This window comes from Homo sapiens, chromosome 9 (genome assembly GCF_000001405.40).
Source record: "Homo sapiens chromosome 9, GRCh38.p14 Primary Assembly".
In the NCBI taxonomy this organism is placed as follows: domain Eukaryota; kingdom Metazoa; phylum Chordata; class Mammalia; order Primates; family Hominidae; genus Homo; species Homo sapiens.
The window spans coordinates 115,988,364-116,013,879 of NC_000009.12; the positions used below are offsets into that span (position 1 = coordinate 115,988,364).

A 25,516-nucleotide genomic window follows, 5' to 3' on the forward strand; every position below is an offset into this window, starting at 1 on the left:
AAGATGTGAGCTCACCTGTCTCCTGCAAAGACAGGTCTCATCATGGTCTGGCCAACATGGTTGGGTCTCCCAGTAAATGATGCAAATCTATAGAGATCTATTAGGCTGCAGTGCATCTCAACAGACTCTTAGAATCCTAGCTTTAAGAATCACACAAAGAAGTGTAATCCAACTGCCATATTTTTATAGGAAAAAAAGTGTTCTAAGAGAGGATTTTCCCCAAACCAGACAATAGTAGAACTGATAATAGAACAAAGATCTCTAAAACAGTCAAGGGCTCAACCCACAGTCTCTTTAATTCTGAAATCCTGCTCCGTAGCCCACCCCAACTATGTTACAGCTCCAAGTCCTTCAGAATCTATATACTAACAATACGACTGAATTGACAAAGATGAGGTTGATTATACCAGCATCAGACTGACAAAGTCCTCATTTTTCTCCTCTAAACCTTAGGTTTGAACAAACCTTTATTTTGGATGGCACTAGGGAAATCCCATTCTGCCTCTGCCTGAGGTTCTGTTTGGGTGTTGTAGAGCAGTGATTCACAGGAAAAGCACCTTCCAAACCCACATGGGTTCCTTCTTCTTCTTCTTCTTTTTTTTCCCCTGATAGAAGTAATTTTTGGACTGCTGTGAGATGCCCAGATGGAGAGTGCTGTAGACACCAAGGCTCTCTTCTTGGCCATGGGTCAGGGAGGGTATCTTCAGGGGCTTTCTCAGCCTTTCTGTCGCCAGGAAGTTTCAATCCTCCAGACAAAGAAGGGTAGGTTTTTCCCTATACCTGAAAAGCTCTTTTGTTATCTTTTTGTTCCTCCCATCCATGGAAAGACCCCAGACTAGTTGTTATCTGCTCTAGGAAACCTTCCCTGATTTTCCTGAGCATAGTTAATTGCTCATTTGTCTGTGCTCACTAGCACTTTGTGCAGCCTCTGTCCTATCACTTACCACATTGTATTATGTTTTTTTTTTTTTTTTCCTTTGTACAGCTACTTCTGTCACCAAATTATGCCCTCTTCCATTGCTGGGACTTTATATTATTCACCAGTATGTCCAGAGCATTTAGTACAATATCTGCCATAGAGTAGGGATTTAGTAGAAACTTCTTGATTAATGATAGAAATTATTCTATTGTTTATTTTATCTTATTTTAGCCAACACGTCATAACATCATATAATGAAATACCGCAATATAATCATTTATTATATATCCCTGAATGTATGAATAAATGAAAGAGATGTAACAATTACTGAGTATCTTCTATGTGCTGATCTCTATTTTACACATCACCTCAACACATAGAAGCAGGCACAGAGTCACACACACACATGTTCACATGATGAATGTTTATTTTAGAAAAAAAAAAAGGAAAATGGAGGTAAGGATATGATGTGGTGTTAATGTTTGTGCCCCCATCCCCCCAGATTCATATGTTGAAACTTAAATGCTAACGTGACAGTATTATAAGGTGGGACCTCTGGAGGGTGACTAGTTCATTAGGGCTCTGCCCTCATGCATGGAATTATGCCCTCATAAAAGAAAGCCAAGAGAGCTTGTCCACATCTTCTGCCACGTGAAGACACACAGAAGGCACCATTTTCGAGGAATGGGCCCTCACCGGACATCATATCTGCTGGTACCCTGACTTTGTGCCCTGACTTCCCAGATTCCTGAACTGTGAGCAATAAACTTATGATGTTTTTACGTTTCCCAGTCTATGGTATTTTGTTATAGCAACCCAAATGGACTAAGGCAGAAATCTTAAATTGATTTTCAATTACTCACTATATTACAACTCAAAGATAATATTCTTTCATGTTTTGTTGAAAGTCATTCCAGAATTTTTGAAATACATGCATTTTTTTCTTGTAAGAATGTAATTATATCATTGTTGAGATTTATTGTTAAATTTGAATTGGTAATAGCTCTTTGTTATTTGTGTTTTAAGCATGTTGATGTTAGGTCTTTTCATTAGCAATAAAGTTAAAATTGATATAATCATAAATATCACGCCTTTTCCTTATGATTTCTACCATCGATGTCATATATAAAAATGTTTTGGAATTTCAAGATGTAAAAATATTAATCTCTATTTTCTTGTGGTTTCATTCATTCCAATGTTTTTTTTTCCCTTTTTTTCTGCCTCCATCCCTTCCTTCCTCCTTTTTTCTTACTTTTTCAGTCAAATCTTAAATCCAAGTGAAATTTTATTATACTCTGAAATTAGGCAAGGATCTACCTTTGTTTCATTTTTTCTAATAGTTTATCAAATTCAGTTTTATATAATTGGGGGAATTTACTAATAGTTTGTGGTAGTTTTAAAAGTTTTAATAATTTGAATTTTCTAAGAGAACAATTATATAATGTGCAAAAAATTTTTTTGTTCTCTTGATTAATAGTTATATGTTCTATATCTTCTTTTTGTATGGCCATGGCTGTAACAGTGTTAATGACAATGTTGATAATGGACATCTGTATGTCCTGTGAAATTTTAAGAGAAATGATTCTATTAAAGTTGCAGTACTGAAAGTGATAGTGGTTGTTACTGTAAGTTAGGTTACTTCAATAATGTGAAATAAATGTTCATATTTCCTAGTCTAAGGTTTATTTCTGTATTAGAGAACAGACAAGCATGAGCAAACAAAAAGTTAAGACAAATATAGAAACAAAAAATATGGCAGGGATATAGCTAAGTCCTTTTTAAAAGTTAAAGTACTACTAAGTTGAGTTTTAAAAAGAAGAAAGTTTATTAATATATAGTTCCCAAGAGTTATTCCTGAATAAGAGACTCAAAAAGACTAAAAATAAATTTTGAACAAAAGCATTTGCTAATGACACACACACACATACACACACACACACACACACGCACACACTCAGCAAATGAACAAGAAACAAGAAAAATAAACAATTTCTTTATTATTAAATAACTCACTTATTACTATAAGCTATTCTTTTCTTTTGAGACTTTTGGCGAAGTCTCTGTCGCCAGGCTGGAGTGCAGTGGGGCAATCTCAGCTCACTGCAACCTCCACCTCCCGGGTTCAAACAATTCTCTTGCCTCAGTCTCCCGAGTAGCTGGGACTACAGGCATGCACCACCACGCCCAGATAATTTTTGTATTTTTAGTACAGATGGGATTTCACCATGTTGGTCAGGATGGTCTCCATCTCTTGACCTCATGATCCGCCTGCCTCGGTCTCCCATAGTACTGGGATTACAGGCATGAGCCACCGTGCCAGGCCCCTAAGCGATTCTTTCAGTTCCTAGGCCTGGCACTTAACAACTTTCCCAAAACGTAACTACTCACTGCTCCTTAAAAACAATGTAGGACTTCTTGCCCCCATTCCCTCCACTTAAAATGTTTTTCCAGTTCTCTTGGTTCTCTTCTTTGTTCATGACACCCAAATGTGTCACTCTTCCAGAAGTCTTCTACAGTCACTATTCACTTTGGTGATTATCCTTTCCTTGGAAGCCCTTTGCTTCTTCCTGCTTGAGTGGTTCTGAAGGAACTCAGAAAGTTCCACTTGTCCCTATGTGTGCTGGTCTTGGGCCTCGGCTCATCATTTCTCTCCTGGATTACTAAGGCAGCCTCTAACTAGTCCCCGTGTCATTACAATTCTAAATAACTCCTCCCCTGCAGTCTAACTGACTTGTATATGATGAACATAAGATTATACCACTCTTGCTCCCAACCATTCTTTGCTTTTATTAGTTATTGAGATTAAGTCAAAGTTTCCTAGTGCGGCCTTCAAGGCTCCTTATAATTTTGGTTCTGCTTGTTTTCCCAGTCTCATCGCATTGCTTCAGACATGATAATTCCCTTCAGTTCCTCACATTTTCCAAGTCTTCTCTCATCTTTGGATCTTTTTTATATCTTTTTCTCTGACTGAAACATCCTTCTCACTTTTTATTGAACTTCCCCTTGAGGTTTCATCGTAAATGTTGCTTCCCTGATTAAAACCTCTCCACCACCTCCTGGAATGGTTAGGTAACCTTACTGTGTACTCTCCTGGTACTGACATAATCCCCTCTTTCTAGAACCATAGAAAAATTGTTAGTTACATTTTCAAAGGTGCATCTCCATAGACACCTAGAAGAGATTGAATAAGGTGTTCTTAACTTATATTTTTCTAGGATCTAACATATCCCCTGGCATATTGAAGTTAATTCAATAAATATTTGGTGAACAAAACAATAAAGCAGTGCTCGGTGAATACCTTAATTAACCTCTTTTCTTAATAATGTAGACAGGGGCAAATTAATAAACACTTATTTGGAAGACATCTTTTTAGAGCTGTAGCTTCCAAATAATTTGTGTGAGCCCAGCAGTTAGTCAATGAGTTCTGTTTTATTGATCTAAAAATAAACAAGGAGTACTACATTGCCAGAAATGATTTCAGCTCACTTCTGGGAGGTTAAGTCTTCATTGGAGGCATTTTTGTTGCTCAGCTGCAGAATGGAGGTCCCCTCCAGCAATATCCAATTAGCTAAAGGGGTTTAGGGATGATTTTGGCAAACTCAACTCAGCTTTGGGCATGACTTTGTTCCATCCCTTACTGTGCACATCTTGCCATTTCTGAAGCTGTGAGTCAGGCTGATGGCAGCCAAGCAAGTAGCTGAACCAGCATGTCCAAGGAGATCCGAGGTGTCCTTGGCTAGGGTCTTTGATGCTATCCACTAGGGGCAGATGTTCTAGAAGTGATGTCACTCTCTTCCTGTTCCAGTCATAGCTATACAATGGGATTTGTGCAAAGAAGATGTCAAAGTGAATTATAAGTGGCCTAAAAATGCTTTTCTAGGGAATGCTTATGTACGTATGCACGCATGTATTTTTGCCTATTTAATTACTAGAGACCCAATGGTTGCGAATTCTAGTCCTTGCTTTGTCATGATTCACCGTATGACCTTGAGCAACTTACACCTCTTCTTTGGGTGAAGCTCTGTTCTCCCATCTACACCACAACTGTGTTAGGAAGGTAATCTATCAGGCTCCTTCTAGCAACTTTGTTCTCTTAATTATCATGGAGAATAGCAATATTTATTTTATTGTGTTTAAGGAACTGATAAATCTTTCTGAATGCATGGCTAGCAACTCAATGGTCCATTTAGTCTTTTATTACCAGTGCCTCAAACAGGTCTGCATTCATAAAAATTCAATACTCTTGCCAATATGTAGTGGAATTTTGAAAAGAAATTGGGTTGCCTTCTGCTGGTTGACTACGGCCAGGTTTAAGAAGCATGGAATTCAGAACCAGAATCCAATGGGCAAAGTGGAGTTTTTGAGATGGCTAAGTTATGTAATGAAGTTCAAGATCCTAATCTGGAATTAAATTTTTTGTCACTTTAGGTCTTCTGAAAATGAATTATCAAGAATGTTATGACACTCCAGACCTCTTCAAAATAAACTTTTCTTAAACACTTACAACTTAAACACTGATGACCTTAGGAAAGCCATCTCCAGTCTCTAAACCTGTAATGTGTGGCTTTTGGATCAGGAAGCCTCTAACATTCCCTTTCGATGAACATGAATAATCATGGAAAATTTACAGGTCATAAAGCATAATCTTGTTGAATGCTTTTTCATTTGGACACATTGCAATATCGTCACCATTATCTGTTGCTATTATACTATCCCTGAAATGTCACTATTGGTCTGAACGTGGAAATGAACAGAAAATAATAGAATAAAGGCACAGGAACAAACATTGACTGAATGCTTTTCGTGAAGCAGGCCAAGTGCACTGTGCTCAAACACTTTATCTCCTCTAACCCTCGCAGCAGCACTGTTATGTAGGAATTTTATTGATGAGGAAAGCGATAACTCAAATTATACTTAGGAAGGCTATATTGGATAGGTTTATCATGGGGAAAAAGATAATTCAAAGGCTTTTGATGAAAGTAACATTTTATTTTCTTGATTTTGTTTTAAATCTTTCTTTTTGTTGTTTAGTTTTAAAACGAAAATCTTCAATATTTTTGTCTAGTATTGATTTAGGCAATTGGTGATATTCAGTATATAAATCTTATTCTAATCTTTTTTTAGATGTTCTTAACTTTGAAATGTTAAATGAATTAATCTAATGTAAAAAATAAGCAAGATATTATTTATTTCAGCAACTGCTTTTGACATTGGTGCAAAGGAAGTTGAACTTTAACGAGGAAATATCATGGGCATTTTAATCACTCCTTTGCTTATGCTTTCACCTTACCCCTGCAATGTCTTTATAGTTGGTTAAAGGCAAATTAGTTTGGTCTTCACAGCCTGGGAGACCTGGGTGTGAGTTGTGCTTGAGCTCCTTCCAATATGTAATCTTGGCCTTGCTCCATCAGAATACTGAGCTTCTGTCACCATGTGGATAACCAGGCCAACCTAAAGGGTTGCTGTTAAGATTCAATGATAAAATGCACTGCGCATTCCTCAATACCAGGTCAGAGTTTTCCTCACAAAATTGTTCCTTTGATTTGAGAATCTGTGATGCTCTCTCAATTACTGTATTTTGAATAACAAATTTTGTTTGGGAAAGGTATATTATCTGGAAATGTTCTCAGCCAATTCTAGGGTTAGATTCTTACAGAAGTCATCTAATAGAAGCAGAATTTCTTTTTAAAGGCAGTTAAATGTAATCAATATTTCATAACAGCCTCATGTCTGGGGAAAGAAAGAGAAGGAAAGAAGGAAAGAAGGAAGGAAGGAAGGGAAAGAAGGAGAGAGAGAGAAAGAAAGAAAAAAGAAAGAAAGAAAGAGAAAGAAAGAAAGGAAGGAAGGAAGGAAGGAAGAAGGAGGGAGGAAGAAGGGAGGAAGGAGAGAGGGGAAGAGAAAAGAAAGAAAGAAAAAAGAAAAAAAGGAAGGAAGGAAGGAATGAAGAGAGAGCCTTTAGATTCTGTGGCCCTTGTTAGAATTCCAAGGAAGACATTATGTAAACGTTCTGAAGCCTTCCTAATTTTGACTAATACAGAGCTATTGGTATAAATCTGTATTGCTCTGAATTACACAAAGTTTATATTTTTACACAAAGTTTAAAAATAAATGTAGATTGTCTTTTAAAAAACATATGTTAATTCAAACAAATTGCCAAGTAGGTGTCTCTAGGGACAAATCTTAGTCAATAAAAAAGAGTGATTTTTTATAAGTTTATCAGCTGATATGTAAAGTGTTTGAGAATAGCTCATTCTCTTACAGTGTTTAAACATTCTTTCAAATGATATCAAAGTTGTTTATTTATTTGATAAGCAAATCCTTTTTTCTCAAAATAATGTAGTGGTAAACTTCATTCATTTATGTGTCCTTACTGAATATTTTATGTTCACTTTTCTAAGATTTAAAATATTAAGAAAATTCATAAAGTTATTTTTATTAAGCTACTTTAGAAGAATAAAAACAGATTTAAGAAAGCTATTGATTCATTTTAAAAATACTTGGTTTCTCATCAATTTTAGAAATTTCTACAGGAAGAACTTTACTGAGGCTAGAGTGGGGGTAGGTAAGAAGAGGGTTGCAAGTTTGGGAAAATCTCTACCAGATGTTTGATTTCTGTTAAACTTTTCACCACCAGTCATCTGGCAGGATTTTCAAAAGACAGATATCAATCTCTTTCTTACAACTTACACCCTATGTTCTAATATTTCTAAATATTAACACACCATCATAACTCAGTTTTTACTGTCAAGAAAATATCAGTGAGATCGTGTTTACCCCTCATGTGCACACCATCACATAGTGCACTCTTTCTTCTACAAAATCCCCATTCTCCTTCGTGACTTTCTCTCCTTCATCCACAAGGATCACATCTCTGCCATACATCCATGGCTATGTTCCTTGAGTTATTTATTCCCAGACTGTAGGGAAACTACTTCTAAAGTAGAATTATAGTTCACACTGTGGTGAGCTATAAAAGAAACAGATTATGAAGTTGAATAGACCTGGTTTTAAATCAAAGTTCTGGCATTTTCTAGCTATATGATCTTGAACAAGCACTTAATCTCTCTGAGCCTCTGTTTTCATAGCACTTTTGAATGAGTTAAGTGAGAAATATAGAGAAAATCCTTATCTCAGTGCCTAATACCTAGTATTAGATATAAGGGGCAAAATAAAGGGTAGGTGATCATAATTTTCATCATCATTATCATCTTTGTTATGGGATAGTGTAATGTACTGAGGCTCCTTGGAACTGAACTCACGTCTTTGACTGCCCAAAGTCATAAAAAATGTGGTAAATTTTCTTTTAGCCATTCAGCAAATATTTACTGACCACACTGTTGCGCAATCTCTGGGAAGAAGCAGTGTACATAACATGGGCATTGCCCCTCCACCCCCACCTTGCATGCAATTAAACAATTAGTCATAGAAACTAGCATACAGTTATAAATGGAAAGTGGTCGACCAAGTGAGAGGGAGATGCCAGGTTATTGTGAGAAAAGATGTGTGTGTGTGTGTGTGTGTGTGTGTGTGTGTGTGTTTAGGTGAAGCATGTATTAGAATTAACCAGGTTTGAGTAAGGAAGTGAACATTCCACATGAAAGGAACAGTAAATGTGAAAGCTCAGAGATATAAAAAGACCATAGAAATGTGTCTTTCTTAAAGACACATGGCTTCCTTGTTCACTTTAGCCACATTATCTTTTAACTTTCAAGAAAATTAAGGAGAGATGGGAGAGGTAGATGAATATCAGAAGACACAAGGTATAATAGGCCACGCACAGAAGGAGCTTGGTCTTTATTCAAGAAGTAATGGGCAAACATTTAAGTGTTTAGGCAAGGCAATAACAAAAATGAACTCATAGATACATTTTTTTCAGAGGGAGGGGACGGGGACTCACTATAGTCCCCAGTCTGGTCTGGAACTCTTGGGCTCAAGAAATCTTTCCATCTCAGCCTCCCGAGTAGCTGGGACTACAGGCGTGGTCCACCATGCCCCAACTCCCCAACTAATATTTTTAAATGCCAACTGACTATTAAAATTGTACTGGAGGTGAGGAAGTAAGTTGATAGGAAAACCATCACAAGATTTCTATAGTAGGTTAGGAGAGAAGTGACAAGTGGCTTGGAGAAAGAAGGTAACAGAAAAAAATGCCCTTTGCCAGTATATCCTTTGACTGTGCTTAGCTACGATGACCAAGTCATAAATATGTGTGCCCTCTTGCTGCCAGTCTATCTGCGGGGCAGGGGAATCACCACAGAATATTGGAGTTGACATGAAAGAGGTAGTGATCTGTGCTTCACAATTAATTACATCATAATTAATTACAACGTTCAACCTTATGCATTCATTCTTTTTTTTTAACTTATCACACATTTATAATTATGAGGATCTATGAGAATCCCTAGGTAATGGTTCATGTTAAGTGAGTGACTGACTTTTCATAACTTCAGCATTCTCTCATTTATCCTTTTTTAAACTAGAAGGGCATGTTTAGCAGACACACAAAGGAGACAGGCCCACTTGCCACTCTGCCTGTTCTGATGGGCTGGGAACAAGTAGGCTCCAAGACTCAGAAATGACTGTGGTTTCTGCTCTACTCTCTGGATAATCTAACTACCCAGGGGATAGAAGATTTGTGCCTACCAGATTAAAAAAAAAAATCCTTATTTTTGGTTCTACTGCTACCAGCTTCTTTGACTAATTTTGAAATTATGTCTCCTTTCTTTCAGCCACATTGTTACAAATTTATTATCTAGGCTGATGATATCATCTGGAGAGGGTCCAGGACTGTGGTCATTCAGCTCCTTTTTCCACATTACATAGGCAGCTTCTTCTCTCCCCTTTCAGGTCATTAATTTTTTAAAAGAGGGCTTGCTTTAAATATCTAGAGGAGTGCTTTCAGCTGTGACACAGAGAAGGTTTCCCCTTTCATAGCCTGCAACACGTGCCTGCTTCTGATTGAAGGCTGCTTGCCCAAGTGGGCATTTGAGATCCCTCAAAGTGTCTCATGAGAAGTCTTTGGTCAAAGTCATGCTAAAGGCACTTGTTAACTTTGTTTTCAAACTGGAAACAAACTGGAGAAGGAGTAGGAGACCTGACCTGGAATTGTATGTAATGGGCTATAGGCCAGGAGATTGGAACAGCTTCTCCACAGATTTATTGTGGGGTGTTAGTAATTCCTTTATGGCTCAGCATCCTTCTGTGTAAAATGAGAATGGCTTCATCCCTCATCTCTAATTTTCAGGAGTGCAGGAAGCATTGGAAGAGGTACCAAGTTTTCTAAAAGCACTTTGAAGCTCATACATTCTACAAGTATGTATTGAGCACCGAATATATGTCAAATACTGTGCTTAGCACCAGGTATACAGTGGTGAATAAAACAGGCCTATATGCCAACATGCAACTTATAATATAGTTGGATAGGCAGATGATATACAAGTAGGCAAACAATAAGTATATAGTTACAAACTGAAAAATGCTCTGAAGGGGTTGGGCTATAATGATATTGGGAAATGGGAGTCTGTGTAGAGTGGTCCAGGAATGCCTATCTGAGCAGCTAACCTTGAAATTAAGGCTTAAAAGTTGAGAAAGAGGCAGCCATGAAGGAGGTATGTGTGGTATGTGTGTGTACAAGTGCACACATCAGGGGAAAAGACAGATGTTATGAGCAGAAGAACCAATTTCTGTGGAGTATATTAAGTATAAAAGAAAGTTTGGTGTATTTCAGGAACCACATACAGAGTGATGTGGCTGAAGGCTGATGACAAATGGGTGAAAAGAATTACCCACATATAAGATATAATAGTACTACATTTTGCAAGCTGTTGAGTGAGAATGCTGATATTAAAATGCATCCAAATAATAGATTAAATTTTCCAATCAAATTACCAAATACTGAGGACATGTTGCCAGCTGCTGCAAAAATGAATGAGTTGTGGTACTTTGTCCTCAGATAACTCATAGTGTGCTAAAGGATGGAAAGACACAAGAATAAGCCAATCACTATAAATACAAGAAAAAAATAAATAAAGGTACATATAACGGGTTATGGAGAACAAAAAGGAAGAAGCGACCACAACCTTTCATAGTGGTTTTGCATATTGAAGCAAAGCTTCTTGGAGGAGGTGAAATTTAAACTTGTCCTTGAAGATGGGTCATATTTCCACCAGTGATACTGTCATTTGTAACCACCTGATCATCTGCTTTTTAATTTTCTATTAAGACATCTTATGTAATTAGCTGGAATTTAAGAATGATTATATGGTGTGAGGTCAAGATCACATTCCTACCATTGTTTTTGCCCTTCTTGGCTGTGATAGATCAAAATGACAGAATGCCAAAGAGTAACAGGAGGAAAAGAAGGAAATCCGTGAGGCTATTTCTATGCTATTTGCTCATGTGATCCCTTTAACCTGGAAAAATGTGATTCATCCCATTGCACTTCCTGTACATTCTTCAAATAAAAAAAAATGCCTAATTCACTTCGTGCCTATTTATCTACCCATTATGTACATACTAACACACTATGCTTTAGGCCCTGTACTGGACACTAGGGATACAGAAGTGAATTAGGATGTCTAGCACATAGTCTAATGCATCATAAACACTCAAAAATAATACTTGCTAAATGAATAAAAGGCATGAGCTAAAGTATATTTTAGACAGAAACAGCATATGCAAAGTCATATAGGCATGTAGCACGTTATAAGAAATGAAAATTATCATGCATAGCTAGAAGAAAGAACATAAAGGAGAGGCCCATAAAAGAGAAGCCTAGAGTGATAGATGGGGACCGGATCATGGTGGACCTTGAGGAAAAAGTTGAGGATTTCGAACATTGACCTTGCAACTATGGAGCATCTGTTGAAGGGTTTTAAACATCTTAAAACAATAACAACAAAATCCAATGAAACAGTGAACGAAAACAACAACAAAAGCAAAAACACTAGAAGAAGGGCATGATCTGTATTTCAGCCTACCTCTGTATAGTGCTTGTACAAAGAAGAGAGAAGTCATTCTTCTTTTCCGAACACATTTTTAACATAGGTAGAATGTGCATAAAAAATTGTCTGATTTTGGTTATGAAGGCAAACATTTTATGGTTCTCAATATTTGTATTAATTATTTTCCCTTATCTACTCAAGGCTGATCAAATAAGAATATTTTCAGCTGAGATTCTTAAGTCAGATACCGTATATTTGGATACACCTTACAGAAGAGAAACATCTTAAATTCAGGTGACCAAATACCTTAATTCACCCGGGATAAATTATCCTATTGTCCCATCCAATTTACAATTTGTTCAGGGTTTTTTTCTTTTTAGTGAAGTATCATTATTAAAAGTTGCATTTTAATTAGGGAGGTGTGTAAGGCCTCCACATTATATTCAGACTTTACAATGGCCTCAGCTTGTAGTGTGTGAGACACATTGAATGCAGACGACTTCCTTTAACACAGACTTCCTTTTAGAGTTACACCTGAATGACAATCATCCTTAGTCCATTTTGTTATTGTTGTTGTTTTCAGACCCTTTCCACACAAAATAACCAACATTTTCCTTTCAGAGTCAGCACGTAAGCCGGACTGTCTAGGAAAACCTCCCCTTCCTGTGTCTGGAGGTGTTGAAAAAAATAATTCAACAATGCTGCCCCTGCTGGCCACCAGTGTACCATGCAATAATTCCATGGCCCCTGCCACAGCCCAGGAAATGGAGGAAATGGCCAGGCAGGTCAGTGAGAAATAAAGAGGTGATGTGTGCATGAAATATGGATGGGAAATAAAGGCTGAGTAGTCCTTCCACAGAAAGTGGTCTGAAGTGCCCTTGCTGCAGTCTTTTTAAAAATCATTTATTGTTTGATGTAAATCTATAATTATATATTGCTTTGTTTGGCAATGGTTTTTAATTTTGTGATAAAGCCTTCCAGTATTAATAAAATCAAATAATGAAAGTGCATCTTTAATAAAACAGAAATTAAAGACTGTGATTCTTGAAACCATTTCAAGAGATTTGTAAAGGTTATTTTGAGAAAACGACTAGATGACGGTGCTTGAATATGAGCAGTGGCAGAAAGTACAGTCGAATGCCATTTGGGGGCATCTAGTCGTGTAGCTACAATCTTTTAAAGGAGATCCTATTGTTAATTAGATAAATTTATATTTAGTGCTGAATTAGAATGAAATTGAGAAGATGTACAATTTGGTAGCACCTAAATTTAGCATCATAAATAGAGATACTTATTTTACAAGTTTTCGTCTTGTAAAAATATTTGTTGAAAGAGCCATCTGGTTAAATTGAGAGAAAAGAGTACTTGTAAAACATATTTGGGCTGAAATATTTACACATTTAAATGTGAAAAAACAGAGTTGATAAATTTTCCTACTTAGCATAAATTGCTCTGAGATTTGCAGGTGTCTTGGCATCTGTAGAGTGTATTTTCTCAATATTAAGGTTTACTAAGTAAAGTCAATTGAGGGTATCAAAAATTTTAAATTTCTTGACCATAATGCAGATCTCTGAGAAAAACTGCAGGCAATTTAGTGGAAATATCAAAACTAAAAGGACCATACTGAGAGCAAAAAGCATTAAAAAAATCAGTGATACTAAATTAGATATAAATATGACTAAGAAAGTCATTATATTAGCTAAATATCCACTGATAAAAGTTATCATTTCCTCTGCTCAAATAATCACTACACTAATTTAAAAAGTAAATTCTGTAAGTATATGTGAACTTAAGCTATTTTAAAAAATAATTTAATTTTTGGAAACAGCTTTTTTAAAGAACGATTTTATAGGTCTAACAGTATAATAAAACCAGTCTGTCAGACAACAAATAAATATTTGAAAAATTATATAATTATTTTAATAGTTTAAGTGCTTTGTCTGTGCTCAGAAGTGCCCCTGTGAGCACTGTGAATTATATGATTATTTCTTATAAAGCCCCTTTTACTTTTCCTTGATCTCTTTGACCAAGCGTACATTGTATCTTAAGGCAAGACTTTGTTACGGTCCCTCTGCTATCACAATCTTGAATGTAATGAAAGGCGTTTTTCCTCAAATCAATTCTAGAGGCTATCCTCTCACCCCATTCCCGCAGTCACTGGTATTTGGAGACTTGTGGTTGAACAGGATCTCTGGAATGAATATCTCAGTGGATGCCAGGCACGATGGTCCTACATAAAAAATTTGCTTTGAGGGCTTCCTAACATCAGAAATGGGTGCTTTTCCAGATTAATTCACCTTTTTAATCTGTCCATAGAGAGGAGTAATAGTTGCAAACTGCTTAGTTTCATTAGAAAAGCTTTCTCCTGTTTTTAATGGCACAGGGAGTCCAAGAAGGGCCTATTTTTAATTGTTTCATGTTTTACTGATATCCTGGCCTTCAGTTATCTATCATTTTCTAAAAACCACTATAAAATTTAGAGGCTTTGAACACTATTTTATGTGTTCACAGTTCTATGAGTCAGCAATTTTTGTTGGGTGTTTCTTGTGCTGGGTTCATTTTGGGTCACTTACAACGACTGAGGTTAGCTGGCAATTCGAGTAGAACTGGATGATCTCAGTTGGCCTCACCCGCAGGACTGGCAGTTGGCAGACTACTCTCTGGGATGCCTCTCATTCAGGTGAACCTGAGCTCCTACAAGTTGTGGTGTCAGGATTTCATCAGAGGCAAGAGTGCAAAGTGTGATGCATAAATACATTTAAAGTCTCTGCCATTGTCACACTTGCTAATATTTTTTGGACCAAAGCAACTCACAATTTGGCCAAGACCAAAATCAAAGTGGAGGGAAGAAACCTCTACTTTTTAATAGGAAGGGTGGCCAAGACATATTGAAAAGTGTGGACATACAGGGGCCGGGCGCGGTGGCTCACGCCTGTAATCCCAGCACTTTGGGAGGCCGAGGCGGGCAGATCAAAAGGTCAGGAGATCGAGACCATCCTGGCTAACACGGTGAAACCGCATCTCTACTAAAAATACAAAAAATTAGCTGGGCGCGGTGGCAGAGGCCTGTAGTCCCAGCTACTTGGGAGGCTGAGGCGGGAGAATGGCATGAACCCGGGAGGCGGAGCTTGCAGTGAGCCAAGATTGCCTGCACTCCAGCCTGGGCGACAGAGCAAGACTCTGTCTCAAAACAAAAAAACAAAAAAACAAAAAACAGTGGACATACAAGGACAGTGGAATTATTGTGATCGTCTTGGCAAGCAATTTACCATATTGTCTAATTTTTGCTCACATTTACATCACTTTAAGAATGCAATCATGGCTAAATGCCTATGTGAAGCACAAATAATACTGTAGTGAGGCACATCTGTGGGTGAATTCTTTCAAGGATCAGTTGCCCCCATTACAGTGGGGGTAATAAATAAGCCCTGTCAACTTCACAGTTTATTGTGAGCTAGATTGAACTTGTGAATACAGAAATGCCTTATAAATTACCAAACAGATGAGAAGGATTATCATTAATCAAAATCCAGCACAAACTGTGCTCCTCCCAAGACATCTCTCTTGATATTCCATCCATCACCAATTTCTTGAGTCTGCAGTTTATTGGCACTTGGAGTCTAAACCACATTTTATTGTCTCCTAATTCTCTGTTTCTTTGTGTAATTATTCCAATGCCACTTCCAATAATTCAGGATACACATGCTCAGTATCATCTAAGTGTCAAGTCTAGCTAATTACTGGAGAGACAGGAATGAATCAGGAATAATCCTTGATTGGGGGGAACTTAAAGTCTAGATCCTGATCTTGGCTAGCCAAGTAATCTCAAACATGTTTTATGGAAGTTTAAAATTAGGTGTCCAGACCAGACATCTGAGGACTGAGCCATGACTCTTGGGCATCTCTCTTGCCCTGAATAATGGTCCCCTTCCTCCTCCCAATTCTCTGGTCCCTATAGACGCTGTAAGTGTATTAGTCAAACTTCCTTATTTACTTTGGCTACTAGTACTCTCAGAACCACAATTCTAAACCACCTTGGCAGATAGGGGCAGAGGCCAGGTCTTACTTATCTTGGTGTCCCTAGCACTTGGGACAGGTCACTACTGGCAGATATGTTATATGTGCTGGATAGAAGATAAGTTGATTTGTGTATCGCACTGACACTAAGTCTTCTCTTGACTTAATTGTCTTTTTTCTGGACTTTTATTATTTTTGTTCTGGCTTCTTGTTATAGAAGAACTAAATATTAAAAAAATAGCTGTACTAGTACTATCAGTATTAAAACTGAAAGCTTCCAGTGGGTATTAAGTTCTGTCATTGGTGATATGCTAGCAATGACAAGTATGTATCAGATGGTGAGTGAGACTAAATGTCCTTGACTTTTGTCTTTTGTGAGGATGATATTTGTGATTATTAACTCCCTTTGTAATGGCCTGACTTCTGTCTCCAGTGTGATTTAATATAGCATTATTAGACTGTATGTGTGTTGTGTGTGTGTGTGTTTGTGTGTGTTAATGAGAGCACAGTGGCCTTTCTGATACCTCTACTAAGATCATCACCATTTTTATCTTTATGGGGCCATTTACCCCAAGAATCTTGTAATTGGAAACTTTTTATGAAGAAGCCATGTTTCATTTTAAATAAGACAACCACATAAAATATTACCAAGTGTGTGTCTTGAGTTTGCTTTGGGCACAAAACTATTTTGAAAAGCTGGCAACTAGAAGCAGACTAGTAAAGCAAAATCCTGGAGTCTTCAGAATGTACATGTGAGATCTAATTCAGGCTTAACCTTGCTGCAGCTCTGTGACTTTAGACAAATCACTTCCTCTCTCTGGGCCCCAGTTTTATCATCTATTTCTCTAAAACAAGAATGTCATTCTAAAAGAGGCAGTATCCCCTCACCATCCAGGAGCCCACATCAAGCCTTCCAGTGGGTGAATGAAGGCAACACGGTTTCCATGGCTTAGATGACCTCATGTCGTCCAAATCATTGATGAAATTGACCAGGATAAGGCTGTGTCAACTCTCCCACTAATACTACTTCCAGTAATAAATTTGGATACATCTCCAGTAATGGGTGTGAGCTCAGCTTACTGGACCTGTTTTTCTCAGAATAGCTTTATGGAGAACTGCTGCTCACAGGCAGATGCCTGCTTTTATCACAACATATATCAGTGAGTGAATGACTGTGAAATCCCTTCTTACTGTGCCAGCCAAATGGATAAACAGAAAAATATAGTCATCTCACAGCCAAATCACCACTGGTATTTATGATGCTTAAGGGGGAGAGGGATCGCATGCTTGCATATTGTTTCAGAATCCATTCATTCAAGCATCTTCTTTCATGCTACTTCCCTCCAGACATTGTAACTGGGAGACGAGAAGGGAGCACATGTGGATAAAATAGTGCATTTGCTGTGAACCAAGCCCTCAAGGAGTTTATAGACAAGTGGGAAGGATAAGATGTGCACAAAAAGAGTTTATTTTATCTTTGGACGTGGTCATTTTCACATCGCTTGCTATTTATTAATTATCATTTGCTCATCTAGAAAACTATGACTCTTTTAAGGCAGGGACAATGACTTGCTTATTTTCTGTGACTGTCCTAGTCTGTATCGGCTGCCCCTATTTCCCTACAAGAACACTTCTCCTATTGGGTGTTGAGTCGACCACATCCTCTCAGTGGTCCATGAGGAACAAGAGGGTGAAGACTGATCATGTCTTTTCTAACTTTGTAATCATCAATTTATTCAACAAGTAATTATAGGACTCTTATTATGTGTAAGGTATTTTTCTAAGCCTAAGGGGTTCAGCTAATGTTCTAGTGGCAGAATCAGTAAATAAATAGTAAAAACATAGAGTAAATCAGAAGACAGGCACTGGGGAGGAAAGTAAATCAAGGGGAAGATAGGAAGTGTCAGGATCGGGGGTGATTGCAATATTACCTTGTATGGTAAGTGAAGGCCTCATTGCAGAAGGGGCAGGTAAGCAAAACCTTGAAGTAGGTGAAAGATGAGGCAGGTTGGTACTAGAGAAAGATTATCTTGGGCAGGAAGGACAGGAAGGTATGAAACACAGAGATTGGACTACACCATGCATGTTCCAGGAACAGTAAGGCCACCAGTGTGGCTGGACAGGTCAGAGCAGACTAAAACATTGCACAGGGCTTTGTAAGCCATTGTAAGGCTTTGGCTTTTACTCTGAATGAGTCTCCAAGTTCTGGTACACTTCTTGGTACTCAATAAATATGTGTGGAATGAATGTTGAATACATATTCCTGATGCAGAAATAGGAATATCAAAATTTCTGGGTCCTATATTCAGTTCACCCAGACACTCAGCATGTTCTGTTTCTGTCTTGGGTGGGGGAGAGGACTGTAGCTAGATGTAGTAGTAAGGCAATCACATGCCTAAACTTTCCACTTTGGGGACTGAACAAAATGGAAAGAGCTGTAACAGAGAAACCAGCCATGTGGACTGGGGTTCAGAGATTATGAGACAGAATCAATGACAGAGTCTGTGTGTAAGGGCCATCTAAGAGATAACACTGGGTGTAGGATTTGGAAAAAAAAGTGGAAATTAAGAATGTAGAATGAAGAGAGGGACATCCCAGGGAAAAAGAATAGTATATGCAAAAGCATAAAGGATAGAGAACATGTTCAATGAACAAGGGATGGGCAAGGTTTGCTGAAACAAAGAATAGGTAAAGGAGAAACATAGATGGGGCATCATATAGAGACTGTGGCTTAGAAATAGATCACAGAAACTTTGAGTGCCAAACTTAAATATCAGCAGGGAAAGAGGAATCATGGATGGTTCTGGAGCAAAGAAGTGGAAAAAACAAGGAATTAAGCCACCAGCTTTAGTTTAGTATGTGAGGGAGAAACCAATCATGGAGTTGCTGTAATGAGGGCTCATCTAGATTTTTGGTTGAAGCAGCGGGAAAGCCATGAGAAGGGTACACAGGAAATATGGAGGAAGGCAAACCCCCATGGCTTAGAAACACATTGTATGGGGCAAGGAATTCTATCAGTTCACATTCTCTGTAGGTTTTCCTTATAATTGTTTATGTTCAAATATTAATCAGCATGACTGCTCCATTTTCTCTGTCTTATTTCCTTAGGTAGGTAATTTAGAATATTTTGAAAACTCCCACATTTTTCAAAAATGCACATCAAATGCATGCTGCAGCTCAAGTAGGAGCTTCTTAAATGCAAACTTCCAGCTAGGATAATTCGAACGTGGTGGGGGTTTGAACACTTTGCAGAAAGGTCTGGAGTAGCACAAATGTCAAGGCAGCTAAAAAATGTTTTCTTGTGTTAAATTACCTTTGATTTGTGTTACACAGAAGAAAATGAATGAGGTGCTCTTGAGACGTTTTAATTCAAAAGCAGCAGTGTAGCACAATAGTCAGGAGCAAAGAATCTGACAAAACACAATCTGAGTTCAAATCCCAGCTCTTATATTTAGTGGCTGTGTGACTTTGGGCAAGTTTATTAACCTTTCTGTGCCTCAATTAGCTGAGGAGTAAGAATGACCTCTAAAGCCTTGTGCACACTCAGGTAGGTCCACATGAACATGACTAGCCGTAATTTGGGTAGTCTATATACCTAAACACACATAATTATTACTGACACCACGAAAGCAATATGGTGGGTAGGACACACTTACATTCATGGTGGTGTGAACAGCATTGGTGTAAGCACCTCACCTGCAGTGAACCAGGCCCCAGGCTTGGCCTACCTTGCTATGCAGGAGGACTAAGCAGGACACGCAGCTAGTAAGTGCACAGCTGAGAGTTGAAGCCCAATTAAGCTGTAGCCTCTACACTAAGATACACTTTGAAAGTCACCAGGTACAACTTCCTCATTTCACAGAGGCAAATGGAATTCAAGGATATTAAATGATTTGCTCATAACCCCAGATCTAATCAAGGCAGACCTAAAACTAGTACTAGGTGTGTCTGACTTATGAATAAGGACCTTTTTTATCTTCCTCCCCATATTCTCTCTAAAACAAACTCACACCTGAACCTCTTCTTCATAGTCCTTTTCCCATTCACTGAAAGCCATGGCATCATTAAAGAATCTACTTTGTTCTCTGCATACCTAGACGTTGTCCTCAACACGGTCTGCAGAGTCTCATCCTTGATTCAGTGTGAACTTTATGTCCCATCAGTGACAAAATCAAGACCAAGGAAGTGCCCTAGCTGCCCCTTAAGCTCTCACCGGATGTGATTCACCAACAATAACATACTTTCTCCCAGCCGAATGCCACCTCTCACTTTCCACCTGTGGCCTGATTTTCTTGGGTCGGGTTTCCTGGTTAGACAAACTTGTGGTATGCAATGTGTGGGATGAATGGAGAAGGGTTAAAATAGCCCAGCCACAAAAGGTTACTTCTAAGCTTAGTCTCCTGAAGTTCCAACCTCCCCATCATTTTTGCTTTTGTATTGAAAAACATGCTCTGTCCAGAAAAATCCCCAGAGAGTAGGTTGCCAGGTTGTGGGAGTAATTACCTTTCCAGAATTAACATGAAGCCAGAAAACACCTTGTTGGGGGCCTGGCATATGATATATTCATCTTAAATTAGAAGCACAGCATCCCAAACTTGGCAAGTGATAGCCATCTTCAACCTGCTCTGGCCAGCCCACACAGAAAGTTTTGTACTTCATTTCAGGCTTTGCATTTATTTGTCAAAATGAAAATATGTTTATTGATTGCTTCTTAACACAAGAAGCAATTTATACTTATTTTAAGGCATTTAAGTTGTAACAAAGTGTGTAAGGTATAAACTGAAAGTCTATCACCCATAATTTCAACCCAGAAATAACCACAATTAATGGATTGATCTTAGACTTTTTTTTCTGGGTGTATATTAGCATTTTTTTCTTCAGGAAAATAGGCTTATACTCATATATATATAATGTCTTTGTCCTATTTTTGGCTTTAAAGTAGTTTGTACATTTTTTTCTTCTATGTCAGAGTGGAGTTTTTAAGGTAGTAAAATATACGTAACATAAAATTTTTATTGTAACAATTTTTAAGTGTGCAATTTACAAACAGTAAGTACATTTGTACAACCACCACCACCATCCATCTTCAGAACTTGATTCATCTTCCCCAGTTGAAACTCTGTACCCATTAAGTATAACTCCCCATTCTCCCTACTCCCAGTCCCTAGCAAATAGCATTGTTCTTTCTGTCTCTATGAATTTCACTACTCCTAGGTACCTCATGTAAATGAAATACTGCAATATTTGTTCTTTCGAGTATGGCTTATTTCACTTAGCATAATGTCTTCAAGGTTCATCCATGTGGCAGTATGCGTCAAAAGTTCTTTCCTTTTTATGGATGAGTAATATTCCATTGCATTTACATACCACATTTTGCTTATTCATTGATCCACTGATGGACATTTGGTTTGCTTTCACATTCTGGCTCTTTTGAATAATGCTGCTGTGGACATGGGTGTACAGACATCTGCTTCAGTGTCTGCTTTAGCTATTTTGGATATATACCCAGGAGTAGAATTGATGGATCAAGAGGTGATTCTATTTTCAAATTTTTGAGAAACTGCCATATTGCTTTTCACAGCAGCTTTATTATTTCACATTCTCACCAACAATGTGTGAGAGTTCCAATATATCATCTTCCTCACCAACACTTGTTTTCTGCTTTTTTTAAAAAATAGTAACCTTCAGAATAGACATGAAGTGGTGTTTTATCGTGATTTTTTTTCTTGCATTTCCCTAGGAATTAGAGATGTTGAGGGCTTTTCCATGTGCTTATTGGCCATTTGTATACCTTCTTTGGAGAAATGTCTATTCAAGTGTTTTGCCCATTTTTTTGGAAAGTTTTTTTTAAATTATACTTTGTTTTACATTCTAGGACACATATGCAGGATGTGTAGGTTTCTTACATAGGTAAACGTGTGGCATGATGGTTTGCTGCACCTATCAACTCATCACTTAGGTATTAAGCCCCACATGCATTAGCTATTTATTCTGATGCTCTCCCTTCCCTCACCTCTCCACCCCAGCGACAGGCCCCAGTGTTGTTCCCCTCCTTGTGTCCATGTGTTCTCTTTGTTCAGTTCCCACTTTTGAGTGAGAACATGTGGTATTTAGTTTCCCATTCCTACATTAGTTTGCTGAGGATAATGGCTTCCAGCTCCATTCATGTCCCTGCAAAGTACATGATCTTGTTACTTTTTATGGCTGCATAGTGTTGCATGGTGTATATGTAACACACTTTTTTGTCCAGTCTATCATTGACGTTTTGCCCGTTTTTTTTAAACCAGCTTACCAGCTTCTTTTTTTGTTGTTGTTGAATTGTAGGGGTTCTTTATATATTCTAGACACTAATCCCTTATCAGGTGTGTGATTTGCAAATATTTTCTCTCTTTCTATGATTGCTTTTAACTGTTGATACTGTCTTTTGATGCATGAAAGCTTTTAGTTTTGTTTAACTTCAACTTATCTAGTTTTTTTCTGATTGAATTTTAAATAAGATGTCAGGTCTGTGCCTGTGTGGAATTTATACGTTCTGGTGGAAGGGACATAAATTTAACAATTAACTACACAAATATTTATTTGTGTGGTAATTAAAGCTATGAATGCACTGACCAAGTTTACCTTACCTATTTGGTGAGTGAAGACCAACTGAGGACCTGAAGGTCTTCTATACAGGAGTTAGTTAGAAAGGGATGAGAGTAGTGTTGGAGACAGGCTTCCAGGATAAACATATGAATCTGTGAAGCCCCTGAAGAAGGTGAAGGGACCAGGAAAGGCTGCCAAATTTGGATGCAACGGAGTGAAACAGACCCAAAACAGATCAGACAGGGTGCTGAAGGCCATGCCTTTATAATCATGGCCAGCTTGTCGCAAGTTACTGAAAAAAATAATCTAACTTTCATGAGAATAAGAAAGTATGCATGGGAAAGGGGTGAGATGTGTGTGTGGGGGTGGGGGTGGGTGGGGGGAGTGGTACCAAGAAATATATTTGCTCATATTAAAAAAAAAATAGGAGTAACACTAGCCTTGGAAATAACCAGATCCAGGAACTCAAATCATGCTGCCTAGACACTCCTTAACTCTCATGCCTGTTTTTAATCTTTATTTCAGCCACATTCTCTCATCCTGCAGAAGGACCCTTCTAGGTGTTAGAGGTTGAGGGATTTTGGCTACATATGGCCCCATACATCTTCCTAGCTATAGATTCCAATGGAAGAAGAGAACTTTCTTTCCTCTACTGAGTGCATATAAACTTCTGCATCTTGCTTCTGGCCTCAACTTGATCTTCAGCATCAACATCAAGCAGAGCAGCATGAGATGCAGTGCAATGAATAAACAGTTCTTGGTCACGGGCTTGCCCTTGCAGTCTGGAAAGAAAATCCTGCAACTGAGAGAGCCACCATGATTTCCTGAAGTATTTGGTGAAGAACCATTCTCCAAACGTGAAGTCAGGAGATATGTATTGCTATTATCAGAGCTGAGGAAAAGACACTAGAAGTTTGAAATCTCAGATGTCCACAGCATCATGACACATAGTTAGGATTCCATGCTGAATAGAAGGGGGAACCTACTGAAGAGTTTTCAGCAGAAGAGAGACCCAATAAAACTTGCGTGTAAATTATAACCATTGCTTCTGTATAGCATTCTGATTGGAGAGTCAGGTATAGATGCACAGAGAGCAGTTAGAAGGTTATTATAGTAGTCTAGAAGTGACTGTGGACTTGTAGGGAAATGGCAAATATTTAGAAAACAAATTCAATAACACTCAGCAATCAGTTGGACTTGGGGTATGAGGAAGGGAGAAATGTCTGGTCTGATTCCATCACAAGGCCTTGTATATGCTGTTCCCTTTGCCTAAAAATTCCCTTAGCTCCTCTTTTAACCTGGCGAAATGTTGCTCCTTCATCAGGTCTCAGCTTGAGCATCTCTTCTCCAGGGAAATTGATCCTCTTGCCTTTCCCCTGTTTAATTTCCCTTCCCATCACTTATCACAGTTTATAACGTTATATTCACTCACTTATAAAGTACTTTCTTAAATATTTTAGCTCCTCTACAAGGATGTATAATCCTTGAAGCAGGAGCTGTTCCCACCCAAGAAAATGAAAATCTCAGTCATTAAGTACACAAACACGGGTCCAGATTGCTTGGTTTCAAATCTTGGTTCTGCTACTGGCCAGCTGTGTGATCCAAGAAAAGCTACTCGACTTCTCTGTGTCTTCATCTGCTCATCTGTCAAATGGATATATGAGTAGTCCTACTTCATGGAGTTGTTGCGAGGAATCCATTAGGTAATGTATCCAAAGCCTTTAGAAGGATGTCATGTTTATAGTAAGCACTAGCACAGTGATAGCTGCTTTAATTGTTCTCTTCTTCTTTGTCCCTAGTACCTCTCCTAGTGCCTGCAGCCACGCAATACATATTTGAAAAGTAAGTGGAAATCTGTCAAGTGTAAGTTACTGTGTGGATATTGGTGTGATGCACAGAGAAGAGGAAGCACTGGAAGATGATCATGGAAGGGAGAGAAGGCAAGCTTGCAAAATCAGCATTGGCTATTTAAATAATATCTGCCTATGATGCTGTCAAGGAAAAATGTTGTGGAGCCGTTGGAAATGTGACATTGAAGCTCAAAACAGAGGCCTGAGGGGATTGATTAATTTCCCAGAGCCGCCATAATAAGGTACCACAAACTAGGTGGTTTAAAACAATAAACATTTATTGTATCACAGTTCTGGTGGCCAGAAGTCTGAAATCAGGTATTGGCAGGATTTTGCCCCCTGAAGGGCCCTAGGGAAGGATTCTTTCTTGCCATTCCAGCTTCTGGTGGTCCCAAGTGATCATTGGCTTGCAGTAGCATCACCCCAGTGTCTGCCCCTGTCTTCACATGGCCTTCACTCTATCTGAGTCCAAATCTCCCTTTTCCTACGAGGATAGCAGTCATGTTGCATAAAGGGTCCAACTACTCCAGTGTGACTTCATCTTAACTACTTACATCTGCCACAGTCCTACTTTCAAGAAAGTTCACATTCTGAGGTATTAAGGCAATCAGTGTTTCAGTGTATCTTTTGAGAGGACATAATTTCACCCACAACAGAAGTGATATACATTTGGGGGTTACTGGCATTTGAATGCTATTTTGAGCCAAGGCTATAGAGAAGAGCAGCCTTGTAGCTAAGAGCTCAGGTCCTATCAATCCATACAGACCTGGGATTGACACTCAGTTCCATTACTGACTGGCTCAGATCTTGGTAAAGTTGCCTAACATTTCGAAGACTTAGTTTCTTAGCCTGTTAAAAAAGGGATAATAAAACCTCCAGGTTTCTTGTAAATATGAACTGAGGAAATGATTGTAAAGTGGTGAGCATAGCACATCTTATAGGGTGAGTCTTCAGTAAATGGTGTCTGTTAGTTAAGATTTTGTATGGAAAGAATCTAACCTGAGAAAGAAGGAAGAGTGAGGAATAAATTTTTAACCAAGAGGAAACACCCCATTTTAGTTAGAAATGACCCAAGAGAGCAACCAGAATAATGAAAATACTATAAATTATTTTCTGGTGTTTTGGATTTATATATAGTTCAAGAATTTAGCCCTGTGCCTGACCTAAGACAGATAATCAATATGCAGTTGGATGGCTAGACT

At 38.2% G+C, this 25,516-nt stretch overlaps 1 long non-coding RNA gene across 2 annotated transcripts; it reads left to right on the top strand.

The window, feature by feature from the left end:
- Nucleotides 1-1,558: 1,558 nt before the first annotated feature.
- LOC105376236 (uncharacterized) lies at nt 1,559-24,604 on the top strand. Of its 2 annotated transcripts, XR_001746909.2 has the most exons (4): nt 1,559-1,674; nt 12,484-12,647; nt 22,990-24,167; nt 24,264-24,604. It is a non-coding gene; the product is annotated as an uncharacterized LOC105376236 (long non-coding RNA). The 2 variants fall into 2 exon arrangements; XR_930271.3 differs by having other exon boundaries at nt 22,990-24,604.
- The last annotated feature ends 912 nt before the right edge of the window (nt 24,605-25,516 follow it).